General features: G+C 34.9%; 1 protein-coding gene and 1 long non-coding RNA gene across 57 annotated transcripts in view, besides 2 other annotated features; one reads left to right on the forward strand and one right to left on the reverse strand.

Moving 5' to 3' along the window:
* The window catches only part of ABI3BP (ABI family member 3 binding protein), a 244,266-nt gene that overhangs the window by 36,804 nt on the left and 180,447 nt on the right, over window positions 1-27,015 (reverse strand). For 38 of the 56 annotated variants that reach the window (XM_006713572.4, XM_047447922.1, XM_024453445.2 and 35 more), the window contains 12 exons: window positions 26,508-26,564; window positions 25,769-25,840; window positions 25,271-25,318; window positions 24,453-24,518; window positions 22,202-22,276; window positions 18,833-18,907; window positions 10,450-10,509; window positions 9,845-9,892; window positions 8,964-9,044; window positions 6,732-6,809; window positions 3,495-3,557; window positions 1,769-1,843 (listed from right to left, as the gene is read on the reverse strand). In XM_006713572.4, the coding sequence (XP_006713635.1) occupies window positions 1,769-1,843; window positions 3,495-3,557; window positions 6,732-6,809; window positions 8,964-9,044; window positions 9,845-9,892; window positions 10,450-10,509; window positions 18,833-18,907; window positions 22,202-22,276; window positions 24,453-24,518; window positions 25,271-25,318; window positions 25,769-25,840; window positions 26,508-26,564 (798 nt within the window). The remainder of the gene's footprint in view (window positions 1-1,768; window positions 1,844-3,494; window positions 3,558-6,731; window positions 6,810-8,963; window positions 9,045-9,844; window positions 9,893-10,449; window positions 10,510-18,832; window positions 18,908-22,201; window positions 22,277-24,452; window positions 24,519-25,270; window positions 25,319-25,768; window positions 25,841-26,507; window positions 26,565-27,015) is intronic. The other 18 variants (XM_047447925.1, XM_047447918.1, XM_047447924.1 and 15 more) reach the window with 11 other exon arrangements.
* Window positions 527-14,554, forward strand: LOC124906260 (uncharacterized). Its single transcript, XR_007095986.1, has 2 exons — window positions 527-3,173; window positions 4,110-14,554. It is a non-coding gene; the product is annotated as an uncharacterized LOC124906260 (long non-coding RNA).
* Window positions 10,168-10,337: an enhancer, noted in NCBI's record as "experimental_63759 CRE fragment used in MPRA reporter constructs". NCBI's record gives its function as "activates a minimal promoter by MPRAs in K562 erythroleukemia cells, with activity observed for both the introgressed and non-introgressed 3:100515056 variant alleles {active_cell/tissue: K562}" and the evidence as "EXISTENCE:reporter gene assay evidence [ECO:0000049][PMID:34662402]".
* Window positions 12,146-12,440: a silencer, noted in NCBI's record as "tiled region #7106; HepG2 Repressive non-DNase unmatched - State 24:Quies". NCBI's record gives its function as "represses a minimal TATA promoter and a strong SV40 promoter by Sharpr-MPRA in HepG2 cells {active_cell/tissue: HepG2}" and the evidence as "EXISTENCE:reporter gene assay evidence [ECO:0000049][PMID:27701403]".

Here is a 27,015-nt window from a genome sequence, read left to right on the forward strand (position 1 = left end):
GAGCCAACCTTGCATTCCTAGGATGAATTCCATTTGGTTGCTATAAATTACTGTGGCTGACATGGAGATGTACTGCCCAGATCTCCATTCAGTGCTCTCTGGTTGAAGCTTACTCTGAGGGAGATGATAGCTGGGTGCCGTCTGCTGACCTCACTCCCTGCAGGCAGGCAGCAAGTCCTTCCTTGACAGGGGATCCCAATCAACAAATAAAAGAATATAGACCAGGCACAAAAAATTTTGTTTGGGGATGGAGGTGGAGTAAAGAAAGAGGAAACAGTGAGCTCAGCTTTGTCTACCTGTGCCCACCAGCCCAATTTCTCCCAACAATTGACAAATTAAATTGAAAAGCCCTGCTATATTATTCTTCCAAAGCTAAGTTGGATACATTATTATAAAGTTGACTTTATGTATATAAGAAGGTAATAGATATCCATTTGTAATACAAGTGGGCTTTGGAAGAATATTTATATTGTTGATAAGCTAAAATATAATAATGGTTTGTTTCCCTGAGAGATAATTGCATGCTCCTAATAAGAATCAGTATTATAGTGAAGGTTAGTAGCTTTCAAGTGTGATCACAGCTACTTTACTTGTTCTTTCATTTGCTTGGTTGACATCTAAGTGCTTTTATTTTTACTTATGCAACTTCCAAGGAATTATTTGAATATTAAACAATTTGTACCTGCCTTCCTCCCAAAAGGATCTGAGAGAAGGTGGCTCCGTTTACAGCCAGATTGCTTATGTCAATCTGAAAAATTGTGCACCATCTAATCCCACAGTTGGGCAGAATAAAAAGAGTAGCTGAGCACAAATAGATATTGAGATGCTTTCTTGCTTTTCATAAGTCATGAATTTATAGTATTGGCCTCATTATTTGGTTTGAAGATAAGTGAATTCCTAGAAATTCAGAGACTGTAATAATCAAGTACAAAAAGCACATTCTTAAAGCTAAATAATTTGTAGACTAAATATCTCTAGGTATTATTCACATCTCTTTTTCATTAGAGAACCGTCATGGGTTCATCAGATATATATACATTAAATAAATTTTAATTTTTTTACCTAAGCAAACACAAGAGTTATACTACTAAAAATATTTAAAGGGAATGATACAATTCTATGTTAAGGCATCTAAATAACTACCATTTATCCATGAAGTTGGGTGTTTGAATATTTATTAGATCAGTGTCCTAGTTTTTCTAGCATAATACTTACTCCCAGAGATCTGATTAGATTAGAGCTATGTTATTTAAGATGAATGATTTGAAAACATTAGTGACTGTTACCAGGGTAACCAGATGCGAATTGCTCTGATTAAATATTTGTTGTTTAAATTTCATATTCCAGATTGCTAACAGATGCAGTTATTCAAAAAAAATTTTAATGGTACTTGGTAAATTATAAACTTAAAAACCAACTAATTACAGTTCAAAGACTAGTCTGTGTAGAAAAAGCATTTTGAAATTAGGGGAAATAGCTATTTTTAGTGTTTTCACTCAATTTATTCTTAATCAGGATCGTTTTCAGAAGCAAGATTATATATAGTAACTAGTAGACTAGGTTTAGAAAAGTGAAAAAGTCTTCACTATTTTTAGAGACATTTGAAGTTTTGATTTTGGAATGAGTTATAATTTTCAGTTACAGAGTTACTAAGAACTTTAAAAACTGGTAAAAAGGAAATTAAAATGTGAATTCAGCAATATCATGAAAATTAAATAACACTTATAGTTTTGACAGGATAAAAAGGAAATACATTTGTGATTATTACCTGTTCCCACTCCATTCCCACTGGGCATCCCACTGGGTTTGGGCCTAGTAGGTCTTGTAGTTGTCCTATTCAGAACTAAAATAAAGTGGGATATAAATAGTTCATTTTCTTATTGAAAGTTTGCAGCCGAGAAAAACAAAATTTCTCAGAGAATTGAAAGTCATTTAGGCAATAAAAAAGATGACTTACCAAAAATATTATTCAGAATATAGAAACCACAGTCTCGTATAAAAATAATAGACTTGAATTTGAAAATAGAGACCTGAATTTGTATTCTGAGGTGATCACTGGGCTTCAATACTTGACTTGAAAAAGTAACTGGCAAGGGAATTTATAATCCGAAGTGGGAAAGATCTTGTTTCATTTATAGGCATTAGATACATTCCAAAATGGAACTGAAGAAAGATCAGGACTACATATGTCTAATGAAAAACCAAAATCTGAAATGTATTTGTCAAGGCCTCCATTCATAAGTTGGAGTCTTTCCACATCCTTTTGTGGGAATCCCTAGGTACAGAGGTTTCATTATACTAGTCCTTTCACAAAGTCCATTGCCAAGCACAGAACTTGATGAAACCATTTTACTTTCTTTCCTGCTTGGGAGAAAGTCATAGCCTTACCAAAGCCTTGAGAGGTGATCTATTTTATAACCCATTTAGAAGATTCTTTAAGGAGGAGCACTAAGTGTACTGTGCTTATGTGAGAAGCTCTGGAGCCATACTGCTCATCTTTTGATCCACTTTCTAGTTCCTCTGTGTGCCTCAGCTTCCTCAACTGTACCTCACAGGGCACATGGCCAGTGCTCGGTCATTATTAGCCATGATTGTTACTACTTAGTTTTTAGAAATGTTTAATATAACCAGTCTCACATTAAGCTCTCAACACCTATCATGACACACAAAGTCAGAGAGAAATACACATGGTTATAGAAGATTTCTGTGCCCAATTATCTTTAGAAGTTGGAAAATTATAACAAAATATATGGACTCTACATAAACCAAATAATATAAAATTATTGTTATAAAGATGCATTCCCCGAGAACATTCATTCGTAGCAGGTTTCATCATTTGGAACTTTAAGAGTCCTTAGAATCACAAAGAAAAAGAAAATGAAACACCAGTGTGTGGTCCAACTTGTGCCTCAGCATAAGAGTGATTTACATGAACTAGATCAACCCCTGCAAGTTAACTTTTTTTCTGAACAAGCTCCAATGAGGGTAATCCTAGGACCTTTGGAGAATTTAGTAAATTTAACGTATTTCCCAATATATAACTATTTTTGCTGTTTATAACTTGTGATATTTTTATTCTCTGAAGGAATCAAGTAAAAATGTTCTCCCAGAACAAGAGCTTTCCTGTGCTGAAAAGAGACCCTCTTTTCTTCAGAGAGAAAGAATATCTGAAAGTAAGTATTAAATAATAACATGTCATAGCTAACTCTATGCAACCTCTTTGTCAGGAAAATTGTCCAACACTATTTTTAAATACTTTTAAATCAATAAAATTTCATAGTGATCTCTGCATCTGATTATCCTCAAAATCCTTAGTCAAGTCTTGTCACATTTATGGATTCATCAATACCTTTCCACTTATCCACACAGATCAGAGTCTCTGTACATCTCTTATTGCAATGTAAGGGTTCCCCTTTGGTGTATTTGGCTATTTCAGTCCATTTCATATCTTCCCCTGCCTGCTGATTATTTAAGTCATCAGAGAAACAACTTACCAGGTCTGATGTGTGGCTTGTCAGATGTTCTGGGCCTCACAGTAGTATAAAATCTGTGTGGCGCTGAAACAGAGGAACACTTTATATTTAATAACCAACAGACCAAAGCCTCCTGAATGGAGATTTAGCATCCTAGGGACCAACAACTCATACACTTTGCATGGACGTATAAAGAAGGTTCAGAAAATTCCCATTATGCATTATAGACTTCACGCTAAAGGAAAATAAAACAAAGAAAATATACATGACTGAAAATTAAAGATGCACATAGAATGAGGTAGTTCATTTGTAAGATGTGTTAAGGATTAGTCATCATTTTGTCCCTATTTTTCAAGAGCATTCATTTTACCAGATGTTTGCTTAGCATGATAAACCCATAAGCCATCCATCTGTCTGTTCATCTGTCCATCCATCCATCCATCTAATCTCTCAGTGAAGAGTCATTGTGAAATATTATTTTGCTAAAGAAGTCAAGCAATCTTAAAGGTAAAAAGAGATTGAATGTTTAGGTAGGTAAAGAAGAAAGAGTAGGAGTATATGGTCTCTATCAAATGGTCTTTGCTCATGAACCTGAAACAAGTAAGTATTCACTCAGTGTCATCCATAATGCTGTAGAAATGACAGAAAATGACATCTGGTGCCCTGCCTATCAAAAGAGGACAAGCAAGGAGCAAGAACTCAGATAATCCCTGGGCCAATTATCCAGGACCTGCACAGAAAGGCATCCTAATGAAGACTTGCTGAAGGAATGAATAAGTGGGTGACCATTGTATGCAGGCAAACTTGTGAGAACCTGCTGAGATATTAATGCATCCTAAGGTTTTAAGGTAAGCATTCATCCTGGAATTCATCTATTCCATGCTGCTTCTCCTGTCCCCACTTCCCTATCACATACTGCCTCCTGCCACCAGCTTTCTTGGTAATGTTTTTGGAAAAATTTTTTCTTGCAAACTTTGTAAGTAGATTACATCATTTTAATGATTTTATTCACATATTGAGTGGATATTTATATAGCCATAAATCAGCAATGCCTTGCCTACTAAGTTAAAAAAGTATGCCTGTGAAATTGGTTATAATGTAGCTCATTTATAAACTTCCAATGTAAAGACTGTGATGAGCAGAATTTTGCCATACTTCAAACCAACAACAGCGGACACACACTGAAATTCTCTATAGGTTTATTTTGGGCCTTCCCAAGTATAATAACCATAAAAATTAATTCTCACAGACCCTAAAGTGCCTGATGATTATTTGCAATTTTTTTCTTCCAAGTTTGAGATGGTGGGATTCCCTGTTAATTTAGCCTATTTCTTCTTTCCACATAAATCCCTTTGAATGTTAGGTTGCTTCTGCTTAAAAAAGATAAGAATCATAGTTCTTGTCTCATTCTAGAATATGTATAAATTTTAAGACTTTGGACAGGAAAGAGATTGAGAGTAGACCACAGAAATAATCAGCACTACATGATTTCAAAGCCATGGCATCTGAATTTTTGTTTTAGTTTTCTCCATAGTCTTCATTTAAGTCTAGAAAGAATTTTTTTATAAAAGAGCTTAAATATAATTTAAGTTTAGGTTGTAACTTACTCATATAGCTCATCACCAAACAATATATGGCCTTGAGGGTTTCAATTTTAAACATAGTACAAGAGCTAAGGATATAAGAAAAAAGTCAGCATGTACAAATATGTTAAGACAATTTATATAATGATATGAGATCATGGATATACTCCCAATAACAGGTGAAATTTATATTTAATACAATATTTTGAAGGAATTTGATTAAAATTCCATATATACTAGTAATGGTGACACAATATTCTCTTTAAAGTAGGAAAAGGCAAAACGAGGAAAGAACAGGCCTGTGATCTTTTATCCTCATTCTGAAATCCTTAAATCTCTAAAAAGCTGAAATCTTTCTCATTTGGCAACACAACCTGTGTGGAATGAAAGTCTTTATTTATCCTGCTTGTTGTAAATATTTATGTATTTTGTGGTAAAAACAGATTGATTATGAGAATCCAGCTATCTTCTCTTAAGCCAGAAATTAAAGAGATTTGCAAAAACATGAAATAATAAACATACAGAAATCAGGGTGGAATAGGGATGTATCACAACGGAACATCTGTTCATTGCTGAGGCTGGTAATAGAGATGTGAGAGGGCTGTCAATATGTTATACTTCAGACTTCTGTGTGTAATTATAAATTAACAGCAAATAAAAATTAAATGAAGTAATTGAATAAAAGTTTAAAACGTAACAAAAAGTTAAACCAAACAAACAATAAAAAAGATTTAGAAAATTTAGAGGAACTGCCCTTTACTATAGTCTTTCTTAGTCACGTTTACTTGTAATAAATATTGCCCCAGTGACACATGTACTTTAAAATGAGATTTCTTTCATTATCATTTCCTCTTATTATCAAACTTCTCCCACCAACTTTCCCCCTCAAATTAGAACTCATAATGGGCAACATACATTTATTTGTGTTCTAACTCCCTAAATGTTTGCTGGTTTTGGTCTTATTTTTGGCTTTCTACCATCTGATAGAGGCAGAGATGGGCAAAAGGGGTATTAGCAGTCCACAAGTGTTATAACCTAAGTAGGATAGTAGGATAGAAAAGTGTAAAGAGGAAAAGACTTCTGAGTGCATGAAGATGAGATAGAGCTTTGTGTAGGCGAGTTCACTTCCCCAAAAGCAGAAAATCACAGAGAAGAAATAAAAAGTAGGAAATCACTTCTCTGGATGTTTAAATATTGTCATAATTTTGAAAAATGATTTTTCTTTTTAATAGCTTTTTTCTTATTAATGTATTTCATCAAATGGGGGAAGATTGGAGAAAGTGAGAAAAGGAGAGAAGAGAAGGAGGAGGACCAGGAGGAAGTTAGAGAGGGAGCAGGAAGAGGAAGACAACAGTTATTATTTATCAGATATGGAAAACGAGGCAAATGAAGGTCAAATGTGTGGAAAAAATGGGATCTTCCACTCTTAGTTATAAGCATCAAGTAGTCAACAATACATTAAAAAAAGTAAGTGCCAGTGAAAGAACTGGTCTTGCCTACATTCAATTGATATTCATATGAGTATTCAGATTTGGCTGATTTCTTTCACCTATAAAATGACAAAAAAAGTCAAGTAATCCACTGTGTTGAGAAATGACATTCTGAAAGAAAATTTCTTTCCTGATTAAAAGCAAATAAGGAAAAGTTATTCTCCAGAGGTAGGGGAGAGGATTACCCTGAGTTGTCTTTGCTAGTTCAGTTGTTCGTGGAATCTTAGTTGTGAAAGGTTCTTGGGTGGATTGGTCTGTTTCTTCTAGAGAAAACACAGTAAGATTGCTTGTTTTAAATAATTAACATTATGAATATGACCAAAAAAACCCATACTCTTTTCTGTCCCATGCAATAATAAAAGGATAAGTTGCATTTAGAAATACACTCAGTAATCACAATAATTCAAAGTTAGTGGTACATTTTAATAACTCTCATTTATGATATCTGCTGTTTTACACTATTATTTTAATGATTGTTATAAGGATTTCCAAAAGCTTTTAGCTCAGGATCATTGTATCATTAATCTAGTTGTGGCTATTCTTGGATATGGCTCATGTATGAAAGTCTCCTAGTTGCCTCGATGTATTTATCTCCTTCATGTTTCTTTCCTGCCCATAAATCTCACATGTTATTTTGATGAGCTGGAAAGGAAGTATATCATATGAAAAGATGTATATTTACATCACATAAAACAAATATTCTATTTTTCTCATGTGAAAATCAGAGCGTATGTTTGACATACAAACACAATCCTCTTGACAAAATAAAAAAAATACATACAGCAATACTCCCATTCCCATGTTACCTTGAAATCATATATTATATAGACACAGCAAATTACACTGTTCACTTTGCCCATATTGGATCCAAGGAAATACTTGGTATAAATGATACACTGCTATCTTTTTGTTTTCTGTCCTGCTTTTGTATTCTCTTGATTCTGCTCAAGAAATACACTTGTGATAATTGACAGGCAATGGTTCTGATGTGAATAAACCAAGACACATTAGAAAAATAGGGAGTAGAAGTTAAATAATTAGCATATTCAGTAGTGGTTTTTGAAAAGTACTTTTAACTTTGCCATCATGGGCACTATTGATTTTGCAGAAATAAGCTAGATTAGATGAATATTTGATTAGAATATATTTGCTCAATTTTAATTTTTCTTCCAAAAGGATTTTATTTTAAAATGTGATCAGTAACTTTATTTCAGTAGATACCCACAAAGGATGGATTATTAGAAAAGGAATGAAGGGAGACAAATAGGGCCACTGACTTAAACAAAGCCATATGGGATGCAATGTAGACAGGAGAGAGGAGCCAACAAACACAAGCCAGAACTTTAGCTTTTTGGTTCATTTTCAACCAAGAGGCAGGCAAACTGGAGTTTCCCACACAGCACATTTGTGTTGAACTCCTTGAAAGCATGTTCAGCTCATCCCAGTGGACCTTTCCAACTTACCCATCCTTGTTTCTCCAGGCAACTACCTGCTTATCAGTTTAGTCTAACTGTCATTCCTTGCCCTGTGCCTCTTTCCCATCTGTCCGTAACTTCAAAGAACCATTTGCATCTTTGACTGGTCAACTTTCATTCCAACTTGAAGACCCAGTGTAAATGACCCTAATCTGAGAGGCCTTTCCTTATTTCTCCAGGTAGTTTGTTTGTTCAACATGTTGCTCTTTTCTCTATCACACTCATTGTAATTAGTATAACATTGATGTTAATCCTAGGCACCCTGTCGGCTGAGTGTGTAGATTCTAATCCTGGCTCTGACACCAGCTGTTTCACCTTGGCCAAACTTTTAAACCCTCTACGCCTCAATTTTCTAATCTGTAAAATGGAACAAGTAATAGAACTTACTTCACAGAGTTACATGGTTTACATTTTAAAAAGGCATGTAGTGTATTGGGTGGCACAGAGGCTGCAGTATTATAACCAAGTCCTGTCTTCATATTAGAGGGTGAGCCCTCTAGTGTAAGGACTCCTCTTTAAAAGTTTCTTGTTAGAACTGCATCACCTAACAGTGCACCCAGTAAAGGCTTAATAAATACTAGATAAGTAATTTTTCTTCCCAAATGCAGTTTAAAATACAGAAAAAGCAACAAAAAAGAACAGCATTGATTTAGGAACATTTTTCTTTTTAGAATACTTAAAATTCTTAAGTATTCTAAATCACACTTAATCACCAGAGCCAATTTAACACATCTTAGATGTGTTAAAACATTCTCATTTTATATTGAAAATCAGCATAAATATTAGGACAAATACACAGTTAATGTAAAAGTATTGAGTGAAATGGATTTTTAAATAACCTATTATTTAGAAAAAATCTGTGAACATAATGTATTATGGTTACTTTAAGGGAAATTCCTAAAAGGCAAGCTCTCTTTGAACAAATATTAAAACGAAATTTACCCAGAGTGGTCTGTAGTTCCTCTTGACTAGGACTTGGGGAAATCATGGGTATAAAAGGGATGCCTCGTGTCTCTAGAGGAGCTGCAAAAAGAAAAGGACCAAGGTTGTAAATTTTTAGATTCAAAGCCAGCACCAGACCAGATTGGTATTACATGAAATTCCTTCATTTGAAGTAGAAAAAGGAAAGAAGAAAGTTAAGTGTGCACACGACTTTCAGAAAAATGACTGCGGAATATTAGAAAAATGGTTCTCAACTGTTTTTCCACCAGGACACATACTACATGACATTCTGTTCTTGAACCAATCCATCAGAATGGCTGGTTGAGATGGGGTGTGGGTTAGACACAGTCCTGGACTATTGGCTGTAGCTCTGTCCCTCTCTCCCCCGTTCAAGAGAGCATGCATGATTACCAAATGAGTGAGAATATCATCATTGTTGGTATCATCTCCTTGAGTCTGCTTGAGTAGACTCAAGTAACAAATCACTGGGAATTTTCAGTATTTTGACCAATATTGATAATTACTTGCAGTATCTTTCAAACTTACCACATACTAGTATGTTACATTACAGCTGAGAACCACTAAACCAATGGAAATTGTTAAATGGGCACCATTAGTAAACATACTGGACTCATTTTGAAACATGGAGATAGATGAAGTAAATGAAGATGTATTCAGTAATGTCTTAAGGTGGTCTTCAAAGCAAACCCATTACAACACTGAAATAATTGCTTTTCTGTTTTGGAAAGAGTAATAATAATGAGAATGAAATGATGAATGGATTGAGAAGAAATGATGTTTCAACAGGATCATTTGAGAAAGGCCTGCAATCTTGATGGTAGCAAAGAAAACAGAGTTGGTCAATATGGGAAAACCATTACCTATTGTTGTCTTTGGTGGCTCAAATCTAAAGGTAACAGGCTGCAGAACTATGCCAAAAGCAAGCCAAAGGAACATATTTATGAGAATTACTACCTGGCAAAGTCAAAATAGTTTCCTTATTTTTTAGATGCATTGATTTAATAATTTAAATGTTCTCTAAGAATTGTAATAAATAAGAGAAAATTCTTCACATTAGATGCCAATCAGAGAACTTAGTTTAACTAAAACTTTGAAGTTCTCATTCACTGTCACTTTGGGGAAAATTTCGAGTAGGCACCCACTTTTTTTTACTTAAAAGTACATCCATAGTTGTAATGTAGCTACATTTACATTTTGAAAGGATATAAGCGTTGGCTTAGTTAACAATGATATTTATAATTTTAGCGTGATCTACTCAATGAACCTATATACTATTCCCTCACTTCACCAAGGAAAAATATTTCAACCAGATGATTCAATTTACCCACAAGAAATATGCATTTTATACCCATATTTTTTCTCTAAATTTCTTCCATATCACAACCATTAAAAATATATTTACTTCAAGAATTTTTTTTTTTGAAAAATATACTTCTTAGCCAGAAGGATGAAATAATTAATTTACCAGGTTCGCTCTGAGAGACCTCAGGGTATGGTTTATGAGGAAGGAGCACATCTTTTGGAGCTGAAAGAAAAAGATTATAAAACACTGCATACTCTAAATAACCCAACTGGAGTGAGCTTAACCCACAGATATAAAAATCCCAGAAAGCATGAATGAAGCAAAAGTATTTTTACAATGGTTAATGACCAAAGTTGAGAAGATGCCTGTTTTCTTCAAAATGGAAAAATGTTACCGTGCAGGGAAGGTTCTGGTGGCAGTGAAACAGAAACGAAGTCAGTCACAGTTCATTTTGAAGTCTTCCTTGAGGAAGAGGAGGAGATAGCTAACATAATTAAACAATGAGGTAGAGCTCCCTCAAGTGGCTTTCAAAATAGAAAGTCAGTTTTTGCACAAAGTGGTTAGCTGCTGTTTGATATTCATGCTTAAAGTCCACTAACAGCAACAAAAAATATGTATCTTAGATAAAGTACAAAAGTGGCTACAAATTGGGGGAAACAATAAGAAATGGAAAAATCTTGAATATGTAAGAAGATAACACAGTCTTATTCTAAATGGCACTTACCGTTGCTGGGGGGAGAAAATGAAGCAAAAGGAATCAGCTAGTCATTAGAAGATACCACATGTAAAGTTAATGATAGTGCTTGTTACTTAGTAAATGATAGCTGTTGCCATTTTTGTCTTCTTTAGTGATGTGGCTTCCAGTATATTAGGTGTCAAGCATGCTTGACATAAGCATATGAAAACAAGACAAAAATGTCAGCTGAACAATAGGCCTACTCGTATATGCAGTGCCTGAAATCCAGTATATTTTTTAATGTTTGTGTTCTATTTTAGCAAAATTAAACAGTAGATTGGAAACTTGGTACCGTATTTCTCAGTGGGGAAAATATTAGGGTGATTTGTCTATTTGTTAGTACCAGATTTCTGCAACAAAATCTCATTCCACAAATAGTGTAAAGTACTTCAACTCAGTTTCCCCACAAACCTACCCAGGCCTACTCTCTCAATGAAAGGTTTTCCTACCACACTAAACCTTTCATACACACCAGTGTCTTTTTGTCAGGCAATGTAATTTCCTTGCATCTTATATAATGCTGGAAAAAAAATTATGATTCAGGCTAGAACTCTGCCTCAGAAGAAAGATGAAGAAACTGTTTTTTTTTTTTTTTTTTATTATGAGGTGGCCAAGCACCACTTTACCATTAGTGGAGAAATAGGTTATATAAAATGAACAATCTCTTTTTATTGTTTTTGGGAATCATGTTTAACTTGCATGCCACATCTGTTCTTAGACTAGGCTGCTAAGTATTAGTGAAATTACAATTGTGAAAACTGGTACACTGAACAGAAACTTGACTCAGAACTTTTATGAGCTAAAAGGTAACATCCAAGGGAATTTGAAAATATGGATTGTTTTCTTAAAGAAAAAAGGAAACTTTAAAAAGATTAGTGGTTGATAAGGTAGAGAAAGCCCACCACAATAGTGAACATTTTGCTTTTGCATGTGGTTTTTTTTGGGATTCAAATAGTAACATATGAGAAATTTCCAGCTGTAAATGAAACAAAATGTTTATCTTGAGGCTGAAGAAGGCACTTTGATTTAGCTCTGTGAAGGCCATGAACATTCAAAGCAGCCTTTAGTTTATAAATACTCTAATTAGTTACAGTACTACACCAAACAAAAAGGAGCTGGGATTAAGGAAAGGAGAAGCTGAGAAGAGATGTGGTACTAATAAATCCACCATACTGTAAATACATTATTCACTGCTGCTCTAGTTTACTGAGGAATTTAGGCTGGGGTAATGTGGATTCCAGCTGCTAAAATTGGCACTTTTCTTTTTAACCGTGAAGTGATGATTTAATAAACTGTCATAGCAGACTTCCTAAGCAGGTGAAATCAGTGGAAAGGAAAGAAATAGAAATATTTACAGGAAAGTAATATGAATCATTCTCCTACTTGGTCAACTACAGCTCCAAGAAATTCAAGTTGTTTTTTCTTTTTTTCCTATGTGGCATTCCTCTGTATGTTAAATTGAACAAGAGCACGGTCCCTAAAACGTACATCTTTCATGCTGGGAGAAACTCATCAATGAAAATAATGATGACAATTTTCTGAGAAAGCAGTTTTGATTTCTTTATAATAATATTTACTATTATTATAATTTTAGATTTAATTATATTAACCAACTTATACCATTTATACTAACCAATCTGTCTTTTTGAATAAAGTGTGCCACTCCAAAGAAAAGCCAACACAAGTAGGAATGCACAATGTCTGTCATAGATAAACGTAAATGAATGTGCATGAATGTTTTGATAGAGTTAGAAAATAATTAATGTGTTTGCTTTTGATAAAATTAGAATATGAAGTCTGCAATAAGGTTTACCCTGGCAATAGGCTACAAAGAGACTGATTCTCTTAAAAAAGTAAGACATATAGACTACATACCATATTCTATTCCTTTAATCTATACTCTCTATTCCTTTATTCTAACCTTGTACCATTAGGTCCAGTCTGAGTCTGAGAGGAAGCCCCGTTGGAGGCTACCTGCTGGCTTTCCCTGTGCTCTTGGGCCACCCTCCCTTCTATCTCATTTGAGGCCTTTTACTTTCCATTATTTCTGTTATATTTTTCTCTATTTGTCCATGTTTTCATTTCTCCATGTTACTTCCCCTCTACCTACAAAACAGCTCGAATGCTCTAATATCTTTAAAAAAAATCATTTCCTTGACATGGCTTCTCCTTCAAACAATCCCTCTCTCTTGCTCTCATTCCTTTAATAAAAAAACTATATATCTGCCTTGGCTTCCTCACCTTTTAGATGTATTTTCTTCATCCACTGTGGTCCAGCCTCCACTCATTTCCTGCAACAGTGCCTTCATCATATTCTTAGGTCCAGAAACTCTGAAAGCTGAGTTTTCTCTTAATCTATTCAATAGCAAAACATAACTTGTACTGATCTAAGGGCTGTTTATAGGTTTTAGTTATTCTGCTTGGGAAGACTATTCATACTGCTCACTGAATACATATTAATGTTTCTAATCAATGGTATATGTACTCACGTAAGTTTCTAAAATCTGGAAACTGCTAATTCTGAAGCATGCAGCCCAAAGGTTTCAGAGAGTGGGATTCTGGGCATGCACAGTCAAGCTGGCAGCCTCTTCTGACCCCTCTCCATCTCATTGCCACTGCAATGCCATTGCCAACCTTCTCTTCTTAGGCCTTTTCCTGCCTCATCTCCCAACTCCTTTCCTGATTCTCTCTTATCTTTTTTGACAACATCTGGAAGCTCTTTTTCCTGTGCCTACTCCTTGAATATAACTATGCTGCCTAAATATTGGATTTCCGGTTTCTTATTTTCTCCATCTATATTTTCTCCTCTATGATATTATCCAACATTTAAGAACTATCTAGATGTAAACAAACAGCTCCTAAATCTCTGCCCCAAATCCTGACTTCTGTTTAGAAGTCCAGAAAACATCTTCAACCATCAGTTAGGGTCTTCCCACTCAAAGTCCTACTGGTCCTGCAAGGCTAGCATGTACACACCCATCTTTATTCCTCTCTCTATTCCCTGTTTCAGTTAACGGCATCATTATCTACTAGTTGGCCAGTCTAGCAATAGCATTGTCACCCTTCTCTCCATAACAGCATTCAGTCATTCTCTAGGTCTTTGTAGTTCCATATCCAAAAGCATTTTCAGCATTATTCCCTTAGTTTCCTTTCTACCACAATTAGTTCAATTTCTCAGACTTATCTTTCTAGATTGTTGCAAACCTACTAAGTGATTCCTGGCTATTAATCTTTTTTTTTTTTTGCCTGTTAATATTCCATTTAAAAAAATCACAGCCATCTTTCTAAAATACAGATGTAATTATATCACTCCCATGATTACAAAAAGAAACACACACAATTTTAATGTCTCCTAATTGTCTAAAGAAAAAAAATTTGAAGTGCTTAGCATAACCTAAAAGCCTTCAAACATATGAATCCAATTTACATTAAGTCTTCATCTCTCAATAATCTCATCATATGGCCAGGAATGTAGTCATTCTGAGTCATGCTGTTTCTCAGCTATATGGAGCACGGAGTCTCACTCTGTCACCCAGGCTGGAGTGCAGTGGTGTGATCTCGGCTCACTGCAAGCTCCGCCTCCCTGGTTCATGCCATTCTCCTGCCTCAGCCTCCCTACGTAGCTGGGACTACTACAGGTGTGTGCCACCATGCCCGGCTAATTTTTTGTATGTTTTAAGTAGAGACGGGGTTTCACCATGTTAGCCAGAATGGTCTTGTTCTCCTGACCTCGTGATCCTCCCGCCTCAGCCTCCCAAAGTATTGGGATTACAGGCGTGAGCCACCACGCCCAGCCTGGAGCACTTTTTATACCTCTGAATCTTTGCTTCCTTAAAAATCATCAATAGCTACTTGCCTATTAAAATCTATCTTAAAGCTCATTTTCTTGATAATACCTTCTCTAATTCATACATTTAGAATGTATTACTTTTCTGTTATTTCATTTTTTGTTTATATCACTAACCCATTAATTACTGAGATTTGCCTTGTTTTATAGTTATTGATATTATTCCTGTTTTCTCCACTGCACTGTGTTGGGTGGTAGAGATTATATCTAATTCTTTTAATCCTGATTTTATCCCTAAGCATGGAACCAGGCAGATAAGTGGCAATCAATATTTGCTGAATTGAACATGCATTAGTGCATTTTTTTTTTTAGAGCAAATCTGGAAAAGATGGGCAATTCCCATGAACCAGCATTGTACTTTGCTAAGAAACATTTTAAAGACTCAAATTGACCTCTCCCAAAAGTCTCTAATTCTTTTCCAGGGAAATGTAAAACATTATTTAAAAATCTAGGCCAGGCATGGTGGCTTACACCTGTAGTCCCAGCTACTTGGGAGGCTGAGGCAGGAGGATCACTTCAGCCCAGGGGATCGAGGCTGCAGTGAGCTATGATTGCATCATTACACTCCAGCCTGGGCAACAGAGTGATATCCTGTCAAAAAAAAAAAAAAAGAAAAGAAAAGAAAAGAAAAAAAGATCTAAAGAATTAATTTATTAATCACATCAATGGCATATATAAGCTTAAAGAGATTTTGAGGCAAAGAGGAAGGCACTGAGTCACTAAAACTTGAGGGAAAAGCATACTGATATTTAATATATCATCAGGCAAATAAGCAAATTGCTGAAAACTCCTGATTTGAATTCTCATATTTGAGAAGACATCCATCTTGCCTCTAGGAAAATTGTTTGAAAAAAAGAAACTATTTTAACAAAGAATAAAATTACATAGTACATCCTTAAGGGGAAAAATAAGAAGCTTTAGGAAAAAATGGCAAAATGTGGAGAAGATGATAATGAAACATTGTAGAATTGTAATGATAACAGTATGATCTTAAGGAGGCAGTTCTCTACCCTGCTCATCCCAACTCCTATTTTGACAAAAAGTATAAATGGAAATAATTGTTAACTATTGTTATCTTGGCTTGCTCAATTCTAAACGTATTGTCTTCTAAGACTATATCAGAAAAAATACATTTATTAGGTGAATGTCCAATCAGGTTTCTCCCTAATAAAAATCTGGCAATATTTTAAAGTATGTAATCCAAGCAAATGATTGCTTTATGAACTGTATCATTTTAAACAATAAGGCTCAATTTTTAAGAAATATTTAGAATTAAACACTTATTTTTAATTAGTTCACAAAAAACTCCCCTTAAAACCAGTTTAACTGAAAACATAAAACTAACTACAGAAATCCTGAAGAGTGTGACTACACATAAGAATTTTCCAAAGGGAAGAGACACGTAGAACATTCATGAGGATTTGGATAGCTTGCTGAAATCTAGATTTACTTCCTGGTTTGCTCCTGATGACTGAAACCTATCCCAATGCCTGGGGGTCAGAAGGTTGACCACAAAGCCAAGACAGCTCTTGGTGTAGAAAGGAACTCATAAGGAAGACAGAACTCTGTTAAGCCAGGAACCTCCTGTTTAGACTCCAAGTTAAATATTATCTGAATTCTAAATCATTCTTCCAAGGTAGATGTGGAGAAAAGCCACTTTCATTTTGGTGTGGACATGGAGTGTGGGCCCGATTTGTCAAGATTCCTCATTAAATGTAATAGATAATTCAACTGAGTGGCTGGAAGGTTTTTTCTAAAGGCCTCACCGGATGAAGCTGGTGTTATGCCTAGGAATCTATAGAATGGAAGTGCTGTACAATGAATCTGAGACTGACTTCCTCTTTGATACAGGTCAAGAAATTGAAGTTTGTTACTTCTGATCTCTCTCAGAATACATTTTGAGATAAATGTCACAATAAAACATAACTCTGTCCTGACCTCAGCACTACCTTTTACATTTTTAGACTTTTACAGAAGAGTTTATTTCTCCAGGATACTAATATACATTAAACTACACATGTCATTTACCCTCTGTTTTTTGAAGTATAACCCACAGGACCTGGTAAACAAAGTATTGGGTTCATTAGGGTGTGAATTTGAGCCTACATAAAATCTAGAACTGTTTGAACACATCAGAATCCAATGTGTTTGAACACTTCTGAGAAAACTGAAATGTGGTAAGAGTTGCCTTATGATTATTCCTGGGGGTGCCACACCCCTGGGGCAAGGGAGAACCCTGATCATATGGCAGGGCCAACACCAGATTTAGGGACAGAAACTTAACTCTGAACATGTGGAGCTGGAGAGGTGACAGAAGACCACTAAGAGAGACCCTAGTTCTCCAGGAGGCAGTTCTCTTACTCTGCTCGTTCAAACTCTGGATAAAAAGAATAAATAGGGATAGTTGTTAACTATTTGTGTTGTTACAGGGATCAAGATCACGGGTTAGAGTTTGTATGAAAAGCAAGGTGTTGGTAGAATTAAGGCAAGTTTTTTTTTTTTTTTTCTGCCAAAAGTGGTCCGCTCTTTATAACTTAGCTGTGGGAGAACTTTTGAAGAATGTGGTTCAAGAGAAGGACTAGCTAACAGAGAAGATTTTAAAATATATACCTTAAAAATAATTTTATGATAGTAAATTCCAAAGGTATATGAAAATAGAAAAATAGTAGAATGAATTCTTAGGTACTCACCACCTGGCTTCAATAATGGCCAACTCATGCCCAGTAGGGCAAATATTAAATATTAAAAGAGGAAAAAACTTAACTATTCAATATATTGATGTAATGAGATTATACTAATATTATTTTTTATACTGAAGAGGAAAAGTAAATAAAGTCACTCAAATCTACTGTTATCTATAACAAATTAATTTCCACAATTGAAAATAAGCTGATCTTTTGCAAGTGAGATGAGGTTTTTTTCTTACTTCCTGTTTATAATATTGGCTATTGTGTTTGGTGGTACAAATTTACATTCTAGACTTCAGGGCAAAGGAGATTCTCTCTAGCCTGCTACCACCACCACCAAAGTGACTATACCACAGCAGCAATAATAGCCTTTGCTTATACAATCTGGAAAACATTATAGGAAGTGAATTCAGGCTTGCTTCCAAAATGCTATCATTTTAAACTATAGCTTAGAAATTCTTTGGCTCTGGAAATGTTCTATATGATTTTAGGAGCAGTTAGGAATTTATAATAATTGTACCTTTAAAAGGAAAGAGAAAAAACTCACAGTATTTCCCAGATTCTCTAGTTAAAAATGAGCTTGGCTTTTTAGAGAAAGTTGTTCAGTTACCAGCGGCTTCCTAAGGCCACTTGAAGACTTCATGTAAATAGTGGTGGTAATACCCATGAAGATACTCCACAAACATGAGATTACCTTCCCCATATGTGAACAAAAGGCCTTCTCAGATGATTGGCAAAAAACAGATTTGTAGCTAAAGAAACCATTGTGTGTGTGTGAAAGAAATTTCTTAACCCAAGATATGTCTCCATCAATTTGTAAAATAGAATAGTGACAGGGAAAAAACTCAATGTGGACATAGTACAATTTATGTATCCAAGTAAATGGCTAAACATCATTGCCTCCATTTGTAAAAACACTAATTTATCATTTGTGGGGGAGAACAAAAGTCTTTATCTTTGTGTTTAGTGAAATATTTGAGCATAGCGTAGAATTGGCAGCATTTTTTGTAAGTCAGGGAATAAGAGAACTTTAGTTCTAGGAAAGACATTCTACCCTTGGCATAATTCTCTGCCTTTTGACTGTGATCACAGCTTTACTAGATGAACCAGTGGGCACTCTTATGAAACTTCTGAAATTATCATACCACATATGATACAACATGGGATTTAAACATAAGTGAAATATTGACCTCACTTCCACCAAGTCTCATGTTTCACTGAAGCAGAGTGGGACAGTAGAATGCATTTGGCTTAAACATGAAATAAAGCATTTACCAGGTGTGGTGTATGACACTTCTGGACTTGGTGACGTTTTTGGTTTTGCAGTAACACGCTGGGGCACCTTAGGAACTGAAAGAGAGAACTCATATTGTAAGTCATTTGGTTTCAGCATCTTCCAGTCATGCTTAAAACATAAGACATGTCAAGGTGTAGCCTGAACACTGATAAAACAAAGCATTAGAGAGAAGACAGAAGAAGGAGTTAGAAAGAAGACCTAACCTTAAGCTCTAGAAATAGGTTAGTTAGAATTCCAGATAATTATATAATAGTGAAATCCGAGAAACTGCAAAATTTCAAATTACAAAGCGTCAGAGTAAGATGACAACTTTTTAGAAATCTTTATTTCAGAGGAGATGACAATGGAATGAATGTAAGAGAGCTTTTCTTTACTGGATATGTTTGCTTGACTTCTCCTTAAACCCATTTTTATGTCTTTCCTTAAAGACAAAGTAGGTAAAGACGGTGAGGTCAGGGTGGAATCCTATGGAACATGGATATGCTTGAAGTCCTCTTGGGCAACAGCAGAGTGGTAAGTGGACAATGCAATGGAATGTGTTGGTTCACATCTTACCCGCCCTGCATTTCTCTGGCTCCAGAGAAACCTTCAAATGAATTTGCTGACAACTAAAATTAGATTTCCACAACTGTTCCTTGGGAATAATAAGGTACTAATATAATAGACACCAGGAAAATAAGTCTAACAATTATAGTGTATTCTATGATTTCAAAAATGCCTTTATAAAGTTTACACCCTTTGAGTCTCACCATAATGTTGGGAGGAAGGAATTACTAGCTCCTCTTTAAAGCTGAGGAAACAGAGATTCGGGTGTGTGACATAATCTGCTTGAGGTTATGGTTATTAAGTACCAGAGTCAGGACTTGAACCAAATGCTGAGGATCAAACATTATCAACAGGTCTAAACACTTGGGATCTCTATATCCCAGTTCTGCAGGTCAGATTTTAAGTTGCTTCTCATTTTTTAAGGTGAAACAATAAACCTGCCCTAACTCAAGATATGGTTATAAGAATCCAATGTGAAATGTCAAAATGATGTGAAAATTATACTATTATAAATTTTTTTTCCACTTCTCAAGGAGCTTCACAAATTTGGTTTTGAAGAATCTGAGTATATTCTGATTTTCACATTGTTTGCCCATGTGAAATCTAGGAGCACCCATAATTTTGAGTTATAAAAAATTCTAGGTATACAATTAATAATATTGCTATTACCTATACACACTGGGATCTAAGAAGTCAAACTTTATTGACTTATAAAATATTCCTTATGCTTTCTTTCAGATTTTAGATCCCATTTTGCCTTTGAATGCCAAACATAGATTTAAGCGTTGCCAATTTATAAACACACTTTCAGTAAAACTAACAATAAAAGTTACATGCCAAATTACAGAATCTTATTCTGTGAAAGGTGGTGGATGAACAAAATTTGTTGCGCTTTAAGTTGTAAATACTATTGTTAGATGATATTACAGCCCAACAACAATAGTTTGTATTGGTATCATGCATATAAACAGGACACTCTCCTGTCCAAATGACTTTTTGAAATTTGCAGGAACTAGTTAAGGATAAGGGAAGAAGTATTAGGATTCAACTATTTGTCTTTAAAATATTTTGTGATATATATGTGTACATATACACACCTCCTTGAAAGACTATAAAAATCCAGGATATTGCTGGAAACTATTACGTAAGAATCATATTCTTGTGGGATGAGGAGGTCCCAATTCTACCCACTTTTAAAAAGAATAAGTAGAATGCATTTTGTTTTTCATGACCAGTTTTCAAATTGTTCCCTTACATTAAGTAGCACTGACAAAGCCAGAAGTATCTGGTTTGCAGCTACTTTCCGCAAGAGATGCTGATGGACTGGAAGTTGCTTCAATCGGGACATCAGAAGGCTCTCTCATTACAGTCTGGCAGCCACTCCATGGTTTCAGAGTTAGAGAGTGGAACTCACTGAGGATGTGAATCTATCTATTCTGAAGAGCCTGTCTTGTCAAGAAAGGTTGGCTAAAAGTCTAAGTCAAAATGAAATAAATTTGAAACTTATAGTATAACAATGGAAAATTAGAGCAAGCTCCTGATTTACTATACCGCATTTTAGTAAGTACAAAGTACAGCTCAAAAAGATAAAACTGCAAATAAATTTTTCCTATTACTTCATATCTCCTTTACCTTAAACATTTTTTACTGACCATGATTCATGCCCAAGTCTCTTAATTTTTAGTATTTTTCATCTTTTATAGTTCAACATTCAAGTTTTCATGGTTTCTTCTCCCCATTTGTTTTCTACTTTTGTTCTATGCTTTATACTCAAATCCAAAGCTGAGAGCTTCTTCTCATATAATTTTGTCTGCTATTTTTAACGTTAGATTTTAGTTTCCTATTATAATAACAAATTTAATATACTTGGTTTATTTAATAACTTGGTATATTCTTAAAACTTTGATGTTTTTATTCCTATTCATTATTATTCACTAATCATTATTTTCTCAGACTTTTAGTATGTTAATGTTTCAAATGTATTATTATTATTTAAAATTTCATATTATTTGGGGGAATATTGCCTTGGTACCTTCATATATTTATTATCAGAATAAATTATTTTCATAGCTAAGTTTTAGTAATTAGAACATATTTAAAATTATGCTAAATAAGGCAGATTTAAAATCATAGAAAAAATTTAATGATAGGTAAAATTTCCCTCAATTGATATTAGAGACCACACCTAAAACTACAGGGGTTTTCTTTTCCCCTGTAGCAAAACAAGAATGACAGTACCTAATGACAGAGATTCTGAGGTATGAGTGAAATATTTGTGGTGGGAATCCAGAATCACTACCTGGATCAAACATAATGTGATGGTGCTAAACATTTTCCTTTCCCCAGACTAGATTAGTGGTCGCGAAGCTTCCTTTGCCGGTATCCTGGGTGGGTGAACCTCAGACATTTGTTGTAGTCAGGCCATGTATTGAGAAAAATTTCAAATTAGATGATTGGCAGAAGGAAGCACATTCAGGAATAGTGGAAGGGATAGGAGTGTAGTCTCAGGCCGGGGAAGGAAAACGAAGTAGGCAGGCTATTCTTTTTAAGCAATGCCATTCATGTCCATCTCATCTTCAATAACACAACATTAAGGGAAGCTTTGTGGAATAAGCTCTTCCAATGATGTACTTTTTTAGTAAGTCCAAAAAGAAATTTAAATATTTATTAGGTTACAGAGGAAGACTTGTTTTACAAGTGTTAAAGACTCAATCTGCTATCATAACTATTAATGAACAATTTGCTAGAATAACCCCACTAACCTCAAACTTTTCAAGCTAAAATGTAAAATATATATTTACCTGGTTGTGTTTGTGGGATTCTTGGGCGTGGTGATGTTTTTGGCTTAGGAGGAGCACGTGGTGTCTGCTTGGGAGCTAAAAGAAAGGATATAGGTTCGGAAATCTTGAGCCCTTCAAGAATGACAGTACCTAAGCCTCTAGAAGCTCAGGGATGTTTACTGAGTGATTGAAGACCTAAATACTCAACAATGAAGGCTTCTAAAGATCTGCAAAGTATAGGAAGGTAACTTTTTTATATAACAGAAAACAAAACAAAAAGTCACATTAAATGATATCTAAGATGTTCAGCTGGCAAAATGAAACTTGGGATTGCAGAAATATTGACATCAAATACCTTCTAAATAGTTTGAAAATAAATTCATAATTACAAGAATTCATCCTTATTATAAGTTCATATAATTTTATCAGAATATTTAGTTGTACTATTTTAAATGCAGACACATATGTTTTCTAAATAAAAAACAAAGTTAACATGTTATAGCCCAAATATATAATGTATTTTAATAGCAAGTGCTAATGGAAAAATTAATCTTACTAAACAAAACACAATTTTATTGGTTATATAGGGGAAGAGAGGGAAGAGAAATTGAACACCAAGGATATTTTCTATGGAGAGTTATTCCTTTGCTGAGCAAATCCGAAAGAAATTCTAGGACAATCAGTGTAAAAACCAATTTTTTCTTCACCAAAAAAAATTGAAAAATCTATCCTGCTGAAGGAAAGGAATTATCAGATGCAAGGTTGCAGCTTATGGAAACACCTCATTTGGTTGAACTAAAACGTGTTTGGGATAAAGAAAGGTAAGAAGAAACATGGTCAACGTCATGTAGTTTCAGACACCTTAAGAAAAACTTGCTGAAAATAAGAGTTATTTGACACCAGAAGTTTCTGAAGGAGTCTGCAGAATCTTCTTCCTGATACTAAATGAAAAAATACAAGGTATACAATGGTTTCAGTGGAATCTTCTTGCCTGTAGAGAGATGAATACTGATATATGTTGGAGATGACCTGGTTTAGAAGCCTGGAACCTGGGGATTTAGAGCTCCCTTTGCTAATCACTGGGTCTAAGGTCTCAGTTTCTTCATCAGAAGTTACACAATTTTAAAGAACCCTTCCAATCTTAAAATTCTGTCATTCCAGCATTTCTCACAGTTCGTGATTTTCTGATTCTCAACTACCCTACTTACTAAGGTTCTAACTGATATGCCACTTACTTTGCCAGAGGATAAGAAAGACCACCTGAAGGTTAGGCATGTCATAAAGCAATTCCATGAAAAATGATACACAATGAGATAAGAATCACTAATAGCAGTATTTGCAATGAGACATTCCAATGATATTAATTATTATAGTTATTAAGAACAAAATTTGGAAAAGTTAGGTATAACTGACTGATTTCATTATTTTAGTCAATGTGGATTTCTTTTAGTTAAAAAACTGTAGGGTTTATAGGCAACATCTAGTAGGATATTCAGCAGACAATGAGTAAACTTAAAATCCATATCTCCCTTGGAAACAGAGTCATATAAAAATAGTTTAATGCCAATCAAAACAGAAGTTTGGGCTTATTTATAACCTTCTATTACATTGAAACCTACAGCTATTAAGAGGACTTTTTAAAACAAGAAGCATATTTAGTTATTCATGTTGATTATTTTTCAATCATTTCAAACTCCACTACTATGTAAAGCTTTGTGATAAGCCAAAATAATTGTTTTGATTTTTTTTATTTGTATGCAGTGAAATGGCCAAAGCACTGCAGAAAGGAGTGGAAAGAAGAAAGATATCTGAATAACTACAAGGTGACTGGCCAGTACACCCCCTTTCATGTGGATTGCACAGTCAAACCTGTTTCTGGAGGTTTCTTTTAATGTCAAAAGCAAATCAGAAAGCTTAATATACTTTTTACATGATCATAGAACTTGTAAAACTAGTTGAGATGAATTAGAATTAAAATCAGAATATATATATTTTAAAATAGAACAGAATATAAATGTTCTTCCCAGAAGCATTCCTATTCCCTGAATTAAACACTTGCAGAGTAGCTGAGAGGTATTTTTCAACCATATCCTAAAGAACAACACTGCCATTTGAGTAATTACCAATGATAGCAGGACATCAGACAGGTAGGATTACCCATCAAAGTCTGTGGGCAGAATGATGAAGTCAGGGCCTCTGATATCTTGAGGTGACCATACTGACATTCTGCAAACACTCACCTCATATATGACATACAAAATAATGTATTTACCAGGTTCAGTCTGAGGCTCATCTGGGCTGGGTAGGGTTATAGATTGAGAAGGCAGAGGCGACGTTTCTATGGTAATTGAAGGAAAGTACGCGGGTTACTATAGCACTTGACAGACCTTGAGTACAGATAACAGACAGGATGGTAACAAATAGATTTTTTTAAAATAAAGAAAATTGCAAGTCTGCAGCAAAACAGCATTCCTACTCCTTCATAATGCATTTGGTTAAAAAAAAATGGTTGCAGATGCAGCTTACAAAGTACTTCTAAAGTTCTCATTTCACATTAGAACTCTACCTCCTCAACAATGCTACAAAGATATATTCAATAGGAATCATGAAGGGAAAAAGGAATTTTAAAAATATTATAGTATGAGTCATTTAAGCAGCACTGAATTTCACTTAAAGAATGGAGAAGAAAACCACAAATATAAATAACTGTGATGGGATAAGTGTTAATGGAAAGTATGTTGCTAGGTCAGAAAGTATAAATGGATCATCGCACCAAAAAAGCATTATCTGAAACATTCAACACAATGCCAAGCTGGCAGGATGTACAGTGTTAGGAAGAAAATATTTTAGATTCAACAGTTCTGCTGACTTATGAAGAGAAAAAAAGCAAAGTCTTGTTACACAACTGAATGGGAGGAAGGACATTTTTGGACAATGGTTATGGATAGGAGCACCTTGAAAGAAAAGTAACTGCCATGGCGAAGAGTGACGGTGTAACATGAATTCACAATGAGAGAGACCCAGAGGTTCTCAGGCGATGGTGGCAATGAAGACAGAGAGCACCCAGGGTTGGGCTACCGAGGTTATTACCTAGTGTGGTCTCAGGTGGTTCAGATACATATGTAATAGATTCCACAACTGTACCAAAACAAAGGAGAAAAATTTTAGAAACTGTAAGATATTAAGCTATAGCATTTTTTTGAATATCAAATTTTATTAATAATTTGCATCATAATTTTACAGACAGGACAATGGATTTAGACAGGAAAAAAGAATTGGGAGAAAAATCCTATTCTATAATACTAATCCTCCAATTAATATTTATGTTTTAATTGTCATTAACTGGGTTTCAAATGTTATTACGCCTCAACCTTTAGACTTCAGCAGAGAAAGACAAATTTATTTCTGTATTCAGAGAGAGTCAATTATCACTTTAAGAATTCAAGAATGTTGGAAGCTGTAGCTCCTTCAAATCTGTTTAATTGTGAATCAAGTACCACAGCTTGAACTTTCATATTCCGTGGATGTAACTGATGTTAATTTAAAATGTGTGGAATAAATGAATCAAAGCATTAAAACCTTTGCTACCTTCAGTCTTTGGCTCCTCTGGCCAGAGTGGTGCTTTGGCAGTGGGATATACATAGTCTGTTTTGGCTGGTGCTAGGGAAGAAACGGGAATGGCTGGTTAGTGGTGGCCAACCCAAAGCACACTGTAATAGAACCCTGCATTTAATTTAAAAATAGAATTGAGCTATCTTAAGCAGATATATTCTTGAGAATAATTAACATTTAGGTAGATTATGAAGATGACCACAATTTAGGAGGGCAGAAATGAAAGCAGGAAATGAAGGCAGTGTGCTATGTGGGAAACATGCACACCCCATACATAATGTGTGGCAGAGTCAACAGCACTTCTACCTGGAACAAAGCAGATAATTCCATTTTCATTTTTTTTTTCGTATAAGAATTCCAGTTAGAAACACACATAGAATGAGTACTTGGAGAGCAAAAGCACGGGATGAATCCTAAAAGTGATATGAAAATGAAAAGTAGGTTGTACATATTCATATTGAAAGAGCAATCAGAAAAGGTTAAAATTTTCGTTTCGAGTGAGAATAAGGAAATTATGAAACTTGCATAGCAATACAGCAGATGTGAACACAATGTGCTGTATACAATGACATTCAAGACCCACTGGATGAGCACAGACAAGCTGTGAGGAGCAAGTGGCTATGAAATGTCACAAAGCATGAGGACATCCAGAGATGACTTTGCAATGAGATGGAAAAGCACATATGCTTGACTTCCCATTGGGGAACATTTTTACCTATGGTCTCCTTTGGTGACTCAGTACTAAGTGTAACCGATTCCAGAACATCAGAAACTAGTAAAAAACAGAAAATGGTACAATTGATAAAGGATAGGTTGTAAGTATTTATAAAAGTGCTTTGCATCCAGTAAGTGTTCAATGTTAACTGTTATAGGGTAACAACATTATTAACACTAAGGGAAGCTCTCATAACTGAACTGAATTCACAACATGATAACTACTGTACGTTACCATTAACAACCTACTTTGTACATTCAACATGAGTACCAAAATGTCATTTATCTAATTAAAAGATACTCATAAGAGATGGAAAGAAATTACAGTCCTACGGAAGAAAAATATAGGATCCAGTGTTTTAAAATAAATGTCAGGAAGTAGCAACAACATTACTAATACTGACTTTTAAAATTTGCATCCATTTTTTTTTCCCCAGACAGGGTCTGGCTTTGTCAACCAGATGGAGTAGGGTGGCATGAACATGGCTCACTGCAGTCTTGACCTCCTG

This window comes from Homo sapiens, chromosome 3 (genome assembly GCF_000001405.40).
Source record: "Homo sapiens chromosome 3, GRCh38.p14 Primary Assembly".
NCBI classification, from domain to species: domain Eukaryota; kingdom Metazoa; phylum Chordata; class Mammalia; order Primates; family Hominidae; genus Homo; species Homo sapiens.